Source organism: Homo sapiens, chromosome 6, assembly GCF_000001405.40.
Source record: "Homo sapiens chromosome 6, GRCh38.p14 Primary Assembly".
NCBI classification, from domain to species: Eukaryota; Metazoa; Chordata; class Mammalia; order Primates; family Hominidae; genus Homo; species Homo sapiens.
This window is the reverse complement of record NC_000006.12, coordinates 138,274,940-138,288,159: the sequence shown is the minus strand read 5'-3', so window position 1 is coordinate 138,288,159 and position 13,220 is coordinate 138,274,940. Positions and strand designations below refer to the sequence as shown.

The 13,220-nt window shown below is 44.5% G+C and overlaps 1 protein-coding gene across 3 annotated transcripts in view, besides 1 other annotated feature; it reads right to left on the bottom strand.

The window, feature by feature from the left end:
* The window catches only part of ARFGEF3 (ARFGEF family member 3), a 182,725-nt gene that overhangs the window by 56,504 nt on the left and 113,001 nt on the right, over nucleotides 1-13,220 (bottom strand). For all 3 annotated transcript variants that reach the window (XR_001743524.2, NM_020340.5, XM_047419108.1), the window contains 5 exons: nucleotides 9,543-9,709; nucleotides 7,996-8,161; nucleotides 2,107-2,214; nucleotides 1,244-1,459; nucleotides 976-1,086 (listed from right to left, as the gene is read on the bottom strand). Coding sequence is in view for 2 of the 3 variants with exons in the window: in NM_020340.5 (NP_065073.3) it covers nucleotides 976-1,086; nucleotides 1,244-1,459; nucleotides 2,107-2,214; nucleotides 7,996-8,161; nucleotides 9,543-9,709 (768 nt within the window). In the remaining variant the exon portion in view is untranslated. The remainder of the gene's footprint in view (nucleotides 1-975; nucleotides 1,087-1,243; nucleotides 1,460-2,106; nucleotides 2,215-7,995; nucleotides 8,162-9,542; nucleotides 9,710-13,220) is intronic.
* Nucleotides 713-1,212: an enhancer, noted in NCBI's record as "H3K4me1 hESC enhancer chr6:138608085-138608584 (GRCh37/hg19 assembly coordinates)". NCBI's record gives its function as "activates a minimal SCP1, AML or CMV promoter by ChIP-STARR-seq in primed H9 embryonic stem cells {active_cell/tissue: H9 hESC(primed)}" and the evidence as "EXISTENCE:reporter gene assay evidence [ECO:0000049][PMID:30033119]".

Genomic DNA, 13,220 nt, shown 5'->3' with positions numbered 1-13,220 from the left:
CGCTTTCCTCGACCTCTCAAAGTACTGGGATTACAGGCGTAAGCCACTGTGCCCGGCCTTAATCTTATTTTTTATTTGTTTTTAATCTGAATATCGTGGTCTTGGTTTTGTGGTTTTTTTTTTAAAGAACTGTGAATGTAAGGATTTTTATGTAGTTCATGGTTGTAAAATACTTAAGTAAAATTGTGAGACTCCTTTTTCAGTTAACGCTGGGGATCTGTGAGAGCGATTTTGTTTTCAAATGGGTCTCTAAATTTTATTCAAGTCTGAGAAACACGGACCTAAATTGTGTTTCTCAGCTAAAAATGTACAGCTGACTCAGTGACTTGTTACTGTACATATCTGATAGTAGTTACACAATTTGGACCAAGCTGGCATTTTTCCTTTTGTTTGCTGCCTGCCTTGTATCTTCTGTTGCTACCAGGATGGTCATTCTTTTCCCTTAGATCCAGATAATCATCAGCTTCACCGACTCACTGATTTCATCAAGTTAAAAATCAGCCATTTCTCGAGTTCACAAAGCTCAGATTTTTCTCTGATAAGAGCCTCTTCTTCCTGAGCCTCCCCTCATGAATTTTCTTCGTCTGCTTAATTTCCCCTTTAGAAAACTGGCCAATCTGCCTTCCCCACTATAACCCGAAGGGTCTTCAAGTGTGCACTTGTGTGAAGTGCCAAAGCCAGTGACTAGATGACAGGTGTGAACAGTTCAGCCAGGTGGGTCCCCCTGGGCCTGCTGCACTTTCCTTGCCACCAGGGGTCAGTATGTCTCTCATTCTCCAGAGAGATCTTCTGTAGGTCACCTACATGGAAGAGACCCAAGCCTGTGGCTCAATGGGATCTCGTGATCAGTGGTGTATACATACCGGGCATCACACACAGAACAGGCACGAGTGTTGGCTGGCGTGTGTAGGCCTGTGCAGGTGTGTGCATACTGCACCCAAGGCACCAGGTGGGTTCTGGCCCTCCAGTTGTTACCTTGTGTGATGGCATCACTGGGTTCTTGGGCCTCCCTCTCTTCTTTTTCTTCTTGGACACAGGAGGCAGCTGCCATCTGGGCAAGGGCTGAGGCGCAGTTAGCAGCAACGCCTTCAGAGGAGACACACAATGACTTCTTGACTGAGTATATCCTCTAACCATTCACCTAGCAGAACCCCTTCTAAAGGGTCCCCCTGCCCCACCCTGCTGGGTCATTCCCAGTGAGTTCTGCAGGACCACGGCCAGGGAACACTACTCCCGCTGGTACCTAGAGCGCAGCTCAGCCGTGCGGCTTTCCGCAGCCCGTCGAGGCTCATGCAGATGGCGTCCCGCTCCTTCTGGTTCTGCTCTTTGATGCCTTCAGCTCCCAGAATGAAGGCCAGCCCTTTGGAGCTCCCCGCCATTCGACCAGTCAGTGGGGTTGATAAAGTATCGATCAAGTTCTTCCAGCAGCCCACCAGAATATAGCGAGCAAATGCCACGCCTGGAACATGGAGGGGTGTGTGTCATTTTCTAGAGACAAAAACAACCTGGCAATGAATGACATCACATTCTCTTGCTATCAAATGAGCAGTACTCAGTTGCATGCAATTCTACAACAGGAAATATAACAATGGATTATATGGGATTATGTTTCACTTTGTTCTTATAAATAATAAATGTTGCATTATCAGCTGAATGATGCTAAGTAACTTCCATCAATTACTTTTTCTTTTTCTTTTTTTTTTTTTTTTTGAGACGGAGTCTCGTTCTGTCACCCAGGCTGGAGTGCAGTGGCACAATCTCGGCTCACTGAAAGCTCCGCCTCCCGGGTTCATGCCATTCTCTTGCCTCAGCCTCCTGAGTAGCTGGGACTACAGGTGCCCACCACCACACCCGGCTAATTTTTTGTATTTTTAGTAGAGACGTGGTTTCACCGTGTTAGCCAGGATGGTCTGGATCTCCTGACCTCGTGATCTGCCCGCCTCGGCCTCCCAAAGTGCTGGGATTACAGGCGTGAGCCACCGGGCCCGGCCCAATTACTTTTTCTAACCAAGACAAAATCCTGATTCAAGTCACCACATAACAATGTAATTGCTGGTAACACATGCAGTGTATGGATGTTCATAAACTCAAGACCCAAGTCATTACCTGCCACTGTGGAGTCATCAATTCTCCTGCTCTGGGCGAAAGGAGACTCTGTAGCAGCCGAGGCCATCAGCTGGCCACCAATGGCACTGCTCTCTAAGCCGTCAATATCTGTCAAGGAAAAAGAAAGAAGTTTTCCCTAAATAAAACACTCCAGTCAAAAACAAGCAAATGGCCACCACAATATTCATTTTTAACAAATATCCCTTGTATCTTTTATGTTTCAAGCATGTAGCAACCTTTAATGAGACTATCATAAATTTTACTTTATTCCCTCAGTCTAGTTTTATTTCACTTTGGAGTATTTATTCTTCTGTTACATTGTTGCCTATCTTTATTTAAAAATAGATGTACATTATAAATTATTATTTCTCTGTTAGAAAATCTATTGATTTAGAATATTTTGATCTTAAATACTCTTTTTATTCAGAACCATGGATTATTCCCAAATTTTATATGTACAGGTTACCCAGATGTGAACTTTAGTTTCAGAGCTTCCTTACATGAATTAAGAGGAGAATAAGCCTCTTTGGTCAGATCATCACATAGTCAGATTGCAAAGTGCAATAAATAATACCTTATAATTTTTTTTTTTTTTTTTTGAGACGGGAGTCTCACTCTGTCGCCCAGGCTGGAGTGCAGTGGCGTGATCTCGGCTCACTGCTGCAAGTTCCGCCTCCTGGGTTCACGCCATTCTCCTGCCTCAGCCTCCCGAGTAGCTGGGACTACAGGTGCCCACCACCATGCCCGGCTAATTTTTTGTACAGGGGTTTCACCGTGTTAGCCAGGATGGTCTCGATCTCCTGACCTTGTGATCTGCCTGCCTCGGCCTCCCAAAGTGCTGGGATTACAGGCGTGAGCCACCGTGCCCTGCCAATAATACCTTATAATTTTCAAAGTGTTTTCACAAAACATTTTTTCACTTGATCATCGAAACAGCTAAAATTAGGTAAGTAGGTCAGTATTATTTTTATTTCACAGAGGAAGAGACAGAGTCCTGCACCACAAAATGATGTTTTGGTCAACCATGAACTGCATATAAGACATTGGTCCCATAAGATTATAATAGCATACTTTTATTGCACCTTTTCTATGTTTAGATACACAAATACTACTCTGTTATGACAGCTGCTTACAGTATTCAATACACACGGTGCAGGTATGTAGCCTTGGAGCAATAGGCTATACCATCTAGCCTAGGTGTGTAAGTACACTCTATGATGGTCACATAATGACAAAATTGCCTAACAATGCATTTCTCAGAACATGTTCCTGTCCTTGCTAAAGGATGCATGACCATGTTTAAAGTAGGTAAATGGTTCAAGGCCATGAGGCTGATGACAGAAATAATTAGTATTCATATCTTCTGACTCCCATCCAGGCCTCTCTATACCATTCCAGCTCTATACTGGATCCTCAGTTATCCTGTTTAAGTTTTTGTTGAAACAAATTCTTTTCTACAGAATTAGCTCAACAAACCACTCTTTAACGTTATGGCGAGGAAAGGACTGGAGTTGGGTTGAGAAGGCTAAGCTTTAGTCTTGGCTCTGAATTAAGCAGCCTTGTAGCCCTGAGTCAGGCTCGCCAAGGCCCCAAGTTCCTCAGTATAAAGGAAGTAATCACTGGAAAAGTGACTATGGAGTTGAAATATACATACTTGGATGCAACTAACATAGCTGAATGCAACACAGGGAGGGGATGAGAAAGGAGGGTAGTTGTGGGTTTTTTGTTTGTTTTTGTTTGTTTGTTTTTGAGACGGGGTCTCACTCTGTCACCCAGGCTGGGGTACAGTGGCACAATCTCAGCTCACTGCAACTTCCACCTCCCAGGTTCAAGCGATTCTCATACCTCAGCCTCCTGGATAGCTGGGATTACAGGTATGTGCCACCACACCTAGCTAATTTTTGTATTTTTAATAGAGACGGGGTTTCACCACGAAGGCCAAGCTGGCCTCTAACTCCTGACCTTAAGTGATCCTCCCGCCTCTGCCTTCCAAAGTGCTGGGGTTACAGGTGTGAGCCACTGCCTGTAATTATTAGTATTAATTCCGAGTTTAGGACTTCACCCTCACCCCAAGAGGATGAGACTTATTTGCATGGTGTTCCACTGTATCTTTGATTCTTACAGAAATTACAAAAAGCCTGGAGACTCCTCAGCAACTATCAGAACCAAAACAGGGACGAAATCTATATGGCTGCTAAGGTGGAAACAGACTGGTTTCTCTGAAATTAATTTGACGTCTGGTCAAATGGCCTAATGATATTTGCCAGAAATTTTCATTTATCAAAGTATAATGAATGTTTTCTATGTGCTAGGTAAAGGTCTGATGAATTCAAGTAATGCAAAGCTTATTTCTGTGCTAAAATTCCACAGTTCTATACAATACTCTGACATGACATCAGGAATGGCCACAGTTAGTACAGCGCTGATCATCAGATTGCTGGCACTGCTTCTCCTCATACATAATGAAAAGATCAAATAGAAGTCTCCAAACTCTAGGTTAACTGCTGCTCTGATTCACTTGTCACTTCATACCTGGAATTTAGAATCACAAAGAATCATAGATCCTTATTTTGTTGAATTCTTATGAAAAGCCCTTTTCTATCATTAAAGTTAAATAACTTTCCTATGGACATAGCAATTGAGCTTACTGTTCCATTAATAACAGCGATGGCTAATTAACAGTGATGACTGATGAATATGGGAACTGCGAATAGTCTGTTACTTATTCATTTTACATGTACTGAATGACTCCTTTTATTAAGGTCCGGGCAAGAGAGTCACAGAGATTACTTTTGGCAGAAACTATGGTCTTCTCAAATGAAAGCTGGAATGTTTAGGGTCCTCAACCAAATTCTCAGACTTATAAGCTCTGGGCAGTACCTGCCATCCCTACTGAAAGGAGTTTGTGAAAACAAACGGAAATCAAGCATTGCTTTAGGTAAACTAAATAAATGGCTCTCATACATTTGAATGATTACTTTTCTTTTCTTTTTTTTTTTTAAAAAGACAGAGTCTCGCTCTGTTGCTCAGGCTGAAGTGCAGTGACGCGATCTCAGCTCACTGCAACCTCTGTCTCCCAGGTTCAAGGGGTTCTTCCACCTTAGCCTCCCAAGTAGCTGGGACTACAAGTGCTGGTCAACATGCTCAGCTAATTTTTGTATTTTTTTTGTAGAGATGGGGTTTCACCATGTTGGCCAGGCTGGTCTTGAACTCCTGACCTCAAGTGATCCACCCGCCTCGGCCTCCCAAAGTCCTAGGATTATTGGCGTGAGCCACTGTGCTCGGCCTGAATGCTTATTTTTCAAATGGATGTAAATGTTATAATGATTAACAAAATACAAATTGATCACCTCTCCAGTGATCCTGATCCCCAAGTTTGAGACCCAATCTTACTTTCCCCAGTTCCATCCTAGTTCTTGAAGCAAGACTCCAAATGCCAATCAATGATGAGGACTCTGCCACCCATGGACAGACCTCACTGTATGTTCTGACCTTCTGCCTGATTCCTAAATAGTGCCTCGCCCCGAATTCTACATGGCTGGGTTCCACCTGCCAGTTTATTCTGACACCTTGTAAGAGCCCCCAGTGCCAACCATAGGCAACATAACATGCCCTTTGGACAACAGATTCTGTGCCCCAGTTGGACTGTCTTGCCCAGCCCTGTGCTGTTCCTGCTGGGCACAGAGCAATGCCGAGCTGTGTGAGGATACAGACACTCCAGAGAGGGCAGGGCCTTGCTCTGCACCTCCTTCTGCTGGAGCCAGGAGAGGATAACTGCAATCAGAAACCAGTCTGGGGAGGGTGGGTGCGGCGGCTCACGCCTGTAATCTCAGCACTTTGGGAGGCTGAGGCAGGCAGATCACCTGAGGTCAGGAGTTCAAGGCCAGCCTGGCCAACATGGTGAAACCCCATCTATACTCAAAATACAAAAATTAGCCGGGCATGGTGGTGGGCACCTGTAATTCCAGCTGCTCTGGAGGCTGAGGCAGAAGAATCGCTCGAACCTGGGAGGTGGAGGTTGCAGTGAGCTGAGATCACGCCACTGTACTCCAGCCTGGGGGACAGAGCTAGACTCTTAAGAAAACAACCAAACAAAAAAACCAACCAACCAACCAAACAAAAAACCCAGTCTGGGGACTCAGAGCCAATCCAGGGCAAGGCTGGAGCTCTAACTTACTAAGGCAAGCGATGACCAGACTAAACTTTTGCAGACTCCCCAATCTTTGGCATTATGGCCGAGCCACAATAAGCCATGAAAAGTGGCTTTTGCCAAAAAATACTGCACCACAACAATATGGCATACTGCTCTCTACACTCTCATGTGAAATTTCTAATAGTTAAATAGGATTTTAAAAGTTCTTGTGGTCCATATACACCACGGAACACTACACAACCATAAAAAAGAACAAAATCATGTCCTTTGTTGCAACATGGACATAGCTGAAGGCTATTATCCCAAACGAGTTAATGCAGGAACAGAAAACCAAATGCCATATGTTCTCACTTGTAAGCGGGAGCTAAACACTGGGTACTCATGGACGTCCAGACGGTAACAACAGATACTGGGGACTGCAAGGCAGGAGAGGGAGGGAAGGTAAAGGGTTGAAAACTGTTGGCTACTATACTCAGTACCCGGGTGATGGGATCAGTTGACCCCAAACCTCAGCATCATGCAATATGCCCAGGTAACAAACCTGCACATGTACCCCTTTAGTCTAAAGTAATAGTTGAAATTATATATAGAGAGAGAACTATCACATGAGACTCTGCAAAAGGCACCAACTTGTTCACAAGCCATTGCAACTCACAAGCCATTGCAACCTTACACAAAATAGTACTCCTGTGAGGACATCTGCCCAGCCCCTGCTTGCCTGTCTAACTTAAACTGGCACCGCCCTTGTTACTGATCCTTTACTCAAGGATCATTGTCTCAAAACAATGATGAAATCCTCCTCATTTTTCCTTTAAACACCTTTGTCATCCTTTACCTCCCTGTATACGCACATAGTTTACTATGGCGGGCATATTCCCATTGCAATGTCTATTCCTGAATAAATATTTTCTTAAAAAAGATAAAAGCTCTGGACACTGAAGACAAGGATGCTGGTAAGTATTTGGCATTATTATTAATTCTGGTACAGCTGGGAAGGGAAGGGAGGGCCTCTGATATGGATAAACGGAAGGAAACCAACTTTTTGTTTTGAGACAGGGTCTTGCTCCTGTTGCCCAGGCTGGAGTACAGTGGTGTAATCTCGGTTCACTGCAACCTCTGCCTCCCGGGTTCAAATGATTCTTCTGCCTTAGCCTCCCAAGTAGCTGGGATTACAGGCACCTGCCACCATGCCCAGCTAATTTTTGTATTTTTAGTAGAGACGGAGTTTTGCCATGTTGGCCAGGCTGGTCTCGAACTCCTGACCTCAGGTGATCCACCCACCTCAGCCTCCCAAAGTGCTAGGATTATAGGCATGAGCCACGGCACTTGGCCAGGAAGCCAACTTTAAAATCAGTCATTTTACATTTATTGGTAAACCCCAAGAACACTGAATGATATGGGCAACTATTAGCATGTGAGAACTTCCAGGAATAATCCTAGGCCTACACATCCTATAGATATGGCCTACGGTTTTACACCAACAGACAAAGGTGCTAAGTTAGTCCTCATCTAATGGGGCACAGTGAACCCTACAGACTCCCACATGGAAAAGGGACAGAAAACTCCTGTGAAGTGAACTCATGACACTTCCCTGGAACTGTCACCATTGCCAGGGAAGCTTTGTGGGTGCTGTTTCAAAGTCTGCTCCAAGCACCAACACTTCTCTGAAAGAGGCTTTAAAGCGTGAGCCGTCCCACCCTACCACGTGCCCCAAGGCCTTGCAACGAACCACTGACCGGTCAGCATTGTGATGAGGGGAAGGCTGTTATCTTCTGGGCTGCCCCAATAGCCAGCCTCTCCAAGCATGTTCCTGTCGAGCACCTGATGGTAGAGCTCCTCAATCCAGGCCTGAGAGAAGACCATCAGCACGCCGCTGGTCTGCACCTGCTTCATGAAGTCCTTCTACAGAGAGATCGCATGAGAAGGTGACCACATAACACCCTGCTCACTAACAGGCTCCTAAGTGCCTCTGCTGCCTCTTCACGTCACAGAGCCCTGAACTAAACCAAGGCTTGTGTATTGGGTAAGGGGGCGGCAAGTGGGGAGAAGTAGAGATGGAGGATTCCCAAATGTGCTGAGGTTTCCTTCACTGATGACACCTTTTGACAGATACCTTGCAGAAGGATTAGAGAGACTGCACTTTACATTCTTACTCTTGGATGTGTGGAAAGGTTTGCAATTGCACAGATGTCTTTAATAGCGTACGAGCTTCCTTTTCTAGGAGCCCCAACAGAAGCAGAGGTGGAACGTGCTCCTGCAGGAATGTGCACATCTCCAGAGACACTTCACTTATGCTCATGAAGCAATCACTTATCTTTGGGAATTTACAATTTATCAAGCAAGCAAATGATTATTGATTTCCTTCATGTAGATCCATGGATTTAGGCTCAGGAACTGATAATAGGGCACACCATGGAGTGGCTTGCTCCATCACAGGAGCTAACCACAGGACAACCAACACTCTCATTGTATCCCTTACAGGAAGTGCTTATGAGCAACAGCCAGTGAGCTTAGTTCTGGGTCAACAGTAGGTCTGGGAACATGTTGGAATACGGTGAAGAGTTTTTATAAGTGCACACCTTCAGCCAGGCCTGGTGGCTCATGCCTGTAATCCCAACGCTTTGGGAGGGCAAGGTGGGAGGATTGCTTGAGCCCAGGAGTTCAAGGCTGGCATGGGCAACATAGCGAGACCCTGTCTTTACAAAAAATAATTAAAAAATTAGCCAGGCTTGGTGGTGCACACCTGTAGTCCCAGCTACTTGGGAGTTGAGGTGGGAGGACTGCTTGAGCCCAGGAGTTTGAGGTTGCAGTGAGCCATGCCATGCTCACACCACTGCACTCTAGCCTGGACAACAAAGCGGGGCTCTGTCTCAAAAAAAAGAAAAACACAACTCATTTTCAGCAAATTTCTTGCACATCTTCTGATCTCCCTTAACACGTCAATGATGTGGTTTTGAACAGGTTTTATACACATGTTTAATAATGACATGAGATGAAACTACTGGGTTATCCCTGGGCAGCCATTTCCAGAGCCTCACGTCCATACACTCTTCACTGGAGCCCAGTGGGCAGCTCTGTGCTCACGGTGCTGGGCAACTGTATATCTGTGCCCTTATATATATGTCATCTCCTTCCATCCCCCAAAGTCCCACTGGCATTACCAACCTAGAGCAGTCTGGAACAAAACACGCTGTGCCATCCCACTCAGGGCACTGAGGCTAGGCTGTACACCAGGAAGTTACAGCCTGCCCTCTGCCAGTCCAATGAGGGACGGCACACTCACCATCACGCCTGGCGCCAGGGTCGGCCGCTTCCTGTAGTAGTCACCGTGGGAGAGCTTCAGGTTGAGGAGCAGGGCGCAGTGTGCAGCTGTGTAGAGGCTGTCTGCGTTCATCAGCATCTGGAAGCTGAGGCTGCTATTCCCGTCAAAGCCAGGAGAGTGCATCATGCCTAAGGGAGACAATGAAGGGACTTTTGGGGGTGTGAACAGTGTGCTTGGCAAGGCTGGCTTCCAGAGAGCTGCGAACCCATCGTGAGAGATACTGCATCAATAGGATATTTCTGTATAGCACTGACAGCTAGCCAGGAATATCCTTAGGGCCAGATACACACCCCAGCCTGGTGGCAAAGAGCATGCGCTCAGGAGTGGATCTGCCTGGGCCTGGATCCTGATCTCTTACTTAGCAGCTAGAACTTTGATAAACTCATGTAAACCCTGTAAGTCTCACCTTCTTTTCCTATAATAAGAAGAATTGACTGCATTCTATCCCTAGCTTGAGCCCTCCGGTGGCTCCCTATCACAATGTAATAAAACTCCAACCTCACCCTCCTCTCTCCCTCTCATTCCCCGCAGCCACCCTGACTGCCTGCTGTCCCTCAGCCACACCAGGCCTGGACCTGCCGCAGGGCCTTTGCATTTGTTTTTGTCACTCCTAGAATGATCTCAGGATCTCTGGATGCTGCGCTCCCTCAATTCTGCCAAGTCTCTGCTCAAGTGACAGAGAGACCTTCCCTTTTAATTCCATTATTAAATAGCAAATCCACTCCTGCCCCTCACCAATATGCCGCTTACCCGGCTTTTAAAAAATGGCCTCGATGGCATTTATTCTACCCAGTTTTATATTAACATATACTTGTTTATCATCTGCCATCACCACTATAAAATCAATGAGAGGGTGACATTTCATTCATTTTGTTCACTACAGAATCCCCAATGCCTAGAACAGCATTTGGTACATAGTAGACCCTTAAAAACATTTGCCGAATGAGTAAGAATTAATGGATATGATTGCATGGGAATTAGATGCAATAATGCATGTAAGATGTTTAGAAAAGTTATTAATACAACTTTTCAAAAGGAATAATGTTTCTCGAAAAGCTAAACATAGAATCACTATATGACCCAGCAATTCTACTCCGATATAACCAGAAGGACTGAAAGCAGGGATTTGAACAGACGTTTGTACATCAGTGTTCACTGCAGCATTACTCACAACAGCCAAAAGGTGGAAACAACTGAAGCGCCCATCAACAGATGAATGGATAAGCAAATTGTGGTATGTATATAAAATGGGTATTACTCAGCCATGAAAAGGAATGGCGTTCTGATATATGCCACAACATAGAGGCGCCTTGAAAACATTATGCTAAGTGTCAGGCACAAAATAACAAATATATATGATGCACTCTATGAAGCACCTAGAATAAATTAGAAGAAATAGAAAATAGATTGGAGGTTACCAGGGACCAGGGACCAGGGGCAGAGTACCTTCTATTTGGAATGTTAAAAAAGTTCTGGAAATGCTTGCACAACACTGTGAATACAATTAGTACCACTGAATTGTATACTTAAAATTTATTAAAATAGCAAATTTTGTTACATCTATTTTTACCATGATGAAAACAAATAATAATGTAATACATCAAAACACGTTAGGCCAGGTGCAGTGGCTCACACCTGTAATCCCAGCACTTTTGGAGGCCAAGGCAGGCAGATCACTTGAGTCTAAGAGTTCCAGACCATCCTGCCCAAGAGGGTGAAACCCCATCTCTACTAAAAATACAAAAATTAGCCCGGCATGGTGGCGCATGCCTGTAGTCCCAGCCATTTGGTAGGCTGAGGAATGAGAATTGCTGGAACCCGGGAGGCGGAGGCTGTAGTTAGCTGAGATCACACCACTACATTCCAGCCTGGGCAACAGAAAGATACTCTGCCTCAAAAAACAAAAAAACGAAAAACAAAAAGCACGTTAAATTGTGCACTTTAAGCAGGTAAACTGTGTGGTATGTGAGTTATCTCACAATCAAACTGTTAAAAAAATAAATGAGGAAATAAAGAGTTTCAAAAAAAAAACCATTAAATAATAGCTATTGACTTTCTCCCCACTATCTTTTCTTTTAAAAGACATTTTATACTTACTAAAGTTTTCATTTTGAAGATCCCTTTGAGCTTTATATAAATTAACTGAAAAAACAAACAACTATATCTCATGCTCTGAAGATGGGTTCATTCAGTCAGAGTTGTTGGTATCATGGCTCAAACTTTCACAGGGAGCTTGGGGTGAAAACATTACTGAAGTCAGCTTCTCTGCATCTATTAGTATGCTGGTCCTAAGGCCATCTGCAGACAGGCATTTCCAGGCCTTCAGGGTTCCTGACTATCTGGAGCCTGGTGGTCAGCTCGCAGCTTTGCAGCCCACAGACAACTGCACATCTGTGTCCTTACACTGTCATCTCCTCTTACCCTCCAAAGCCCCACAGGCAATACCAGCCAAGTGTGGAACAAAACACACCGAGCCACTCCTCTCAGAGCACCTTGAGAGATTTTCAATGAATGCGCCATTTGTTCCTGCAAATACTTGGAGGCTGAAATCTAGGGATGTGTGGGAAACAGTTCATCTCTACATTTGTGCATGCAAATTACACATGTCCATACACTCTGCAAATCATGTGTAAAATTATTCTTTAATAAAAAATATGGCTCATATGAAATGTAAGCGTTTTCTAGAATTAACAGTCAAAGAAATGAGAGATACAAATTTACAGCTAGAATGTTTATTCAGTGATGTTGTCCCTATGAAAATGAGAGATACAAATTTACAGCTAGAATGTTTATCCAGTGATGTTGTCCCTGTGAATTTTTTTTTTTTTTTTTCCTGAGTCAGAGTCTTGTTCTGTCACCCAGGCTGGAGTGCAGTGGTGCGATCTTGGCTCACAGCAACCTCTGCCTCCCGGGTTCAAGCAATTCTCCTGCCTCAGCCTCCCAAGTAGCTGGGATCACAGGCATGCACCACCACATGCAGCTAATTTTTGTATTTTTAGTAAAGACAGGGTTTCACCATGTTGGCCAGGCTGGTCTCGAAGACCTCGTGACCCACCTGCCTCAGCCTCCCAAAGTGCTGGGATTACAGGTGTGAGCCACCATGCCCGGCCATCCCTATGAATTTTAATAAATAGGTAAGTAAGAAGATGTGGACCAGAGAAAGCTTTCAAAGTGGAAAATAATTCAAGATCTCTGCCATATTTGAGGGCAGTATAAACATTTTTTTGGTGGGACTAAGCATATATATTATTCCCACAAAACCACCTTATATTATTCCCACAAAACCACCTCAGACAATCAAAGAGTGGGCATTACCTCTGCCTTATGAAACAAGGCAGGGGAAATAAAAAACTGCAGAAATTTTGATGTTGCCTCAAGACGTTTTCTACCAAGAGCACTTTGTGATCATGGGCTGAGGTGCATTTTATTATTATTTTTTAAAATTTATTTTATTTATTTATTATTTTTTTTGAGATGGAGTCTTGCTCTTGTTGTCCAGGCTGGAGTGCAATGGCACAATCTCAGCTCACTGCAACCTCTGCCTCCCGGGTTCAAGCAATTCTCCTGCCTCAGCCTCCCGAGTAGCTGGGATTACAGGCATGTGCCACCGCACCCAGCTAATTTTGTATTTTTAGTAGA